Below are 1,712 nucleotides of genomic sequence, written 5' to 3'. Positions count from 1 at the left end.
GCACCACAGTGCTGGACCTTGTCTAAGGGCCTTCAGGTGTATTAGGTCTTCAAAACCTTTGGCCTGTCCTTAAATTTCAAGATTGTTTTCCCCTAATTTTCTCCTTTTTCTGTCCTAATTTCTGCAAAACCTATTCACCATTGCTAGAATTCATGTACTCGGACTTTTACTCCCTTTTTGATAATAGCCACTTTTAGGGCCAGGGCATCACTCTGGACCCTTGCTAGTCAAAGTGAGCCAAGTGATACAAATGCACCAACGGCATTTGTATCACTTGGCTGCTTGTTAGAAATGCTGAATTCCAGCCCCCACTTTGGGCTTTCTGAACCCGAATCTGTAATTTAGCAAAATCCCTAAGAGGTTTGTATAGTCATTAAATTTGAGAGGCACTGGAGTAGAATGCAGATTAGAACTCAGTATGGAGCAATTTCCTAGTAAATTCGAATTCCTGATCTGTTACCTGGAACAAGCTATTCAACTGTTGTGAGCTTCAGTAAAAGAAAGGCAAAGAGCTTGCTTGTCTTACCTAGTGGTTTTGTTGTTAGTCGCAGGAAAATAATCAATAATAAAATATCTCATAATGTTGTCAGCTGATCTATGACCCCAAAGTGCATATCATTGCATCACTCTTCGATTTTTTTTTTAAGAATCAGAATGAATTGTAAAGTTAAATAAGTCCTCTTGCAATTCAGGAAACTCCTATAAGTCAAGTCACCACTCCTCTGCAATTCCCCTAGGAATTGTGAAACGCCCCCCTTCTCTGCTCTGTCCATACTGAGTTAGAGTTATCTGTTAGTCCCTCTGCATCCCCCTGAGATTTAGGAGTTCCTTGAAAGCATTGTCATGTAGACCGTATTAGACCCACCTCTGCTTTCTCCCTTACTTCTCTGTGCTTCTCCACCTCCTCCCAGTGCCTAGAACAGAGTGGGCTCTCCATATATGCTTGTTGAGTGAATAAATAGATGTAAGATATAATAATACTTGACAGCATCTCTCTGAAAAAAAAAATGCAGCCAGGGCAGTGGGTACCTCTACCACCTGTTTAATAGGGTTGTTAAGAGAATCAAATGAGCTTGGACACACAGTATCCCTATGTGAGCTGTAAAACACTGGATAAAATGAGAGAGCATTATTAGGCATATGCGGTCTGGCAGGGTCTTACAGATGGCAGTCACCTGTCATTATGAAAACTGTCTTTAAGCCAAAGCCAAAACAGTAGTGATTTCAGAGGCTCTTGGGGCAGTGAATTGTAAGCTTTTATCTCTGCTCCCTCCTGAGACCAAGTTTTCATTTATCATGTGTATTTGCTCCAGGGTAGTGTATCTGCTGTTGTTCTTTTGTTGTCTAGAGTAGTGGGGCCACCTTGTTGAGCTGGCATGCATACCCTGCTTCCGGGAGCTGTGGGCAGCCTTCTGGGGTATTGCATTTGGTTGGCAAGGGCTCTCGTCCTGTCCTGTGCCATGTGCTTGCAGCGTTTTCATGCTGTGTTGCCTCATTAGGGAGACTCACTCAGACTGTTTTGCTAAAAAACAATAAGGTCTGCACTGGGATAGAACACAGTTGAATAGACATTTATCTTTTCACAGGGCAAATCAATGAGTAATTTTCTGGTTTGAATGCTATATTTAACACCCCGTCTGGGGAAATGCTGTCAACCATGTCCTATTCCAAGGTGGCTTTATTAAAAGACTGTAAAAAAATCGTATTTAATA

At 41.9% G+C, this 1,712-nt stretch overlaps 1 annotated feature.

Annotated features, from left to right (window-relative positions):
• Positions 949 to 1,449: an enhancer, noted in NCBI's record as "H3K4me1 hESC enhancer chr11:42548059-42548559 (GRCh37/hg19 assembly coordinates)". NCBI's record gives its function as "activates a minimal SCP1, AML or CMV promoter by ChIP-STARR-seq in primed H9 embryonic stem cells {active_cell/tissue: H9 hESC(primed)}" and the evidence as "EXISTENCE:reporter gene assay evidence [ECO:0000049][PMID:30033119]".

This window comes from Homo sapiens, chromosome 11, assembly GCF_000001405.40.
Source record: "Homo sapiens chromosome 11, GRCh38.p14 Primary Assembly".
Taxonomy (NCBI): Eukaryota; Metazoa; Chordata; class Mammalia; order Primates; family Hominidae; genus Homo; species Homo sapiens.
This window is presented reverse-complemented; position numbering and strand designations above follow the sequence as displayed.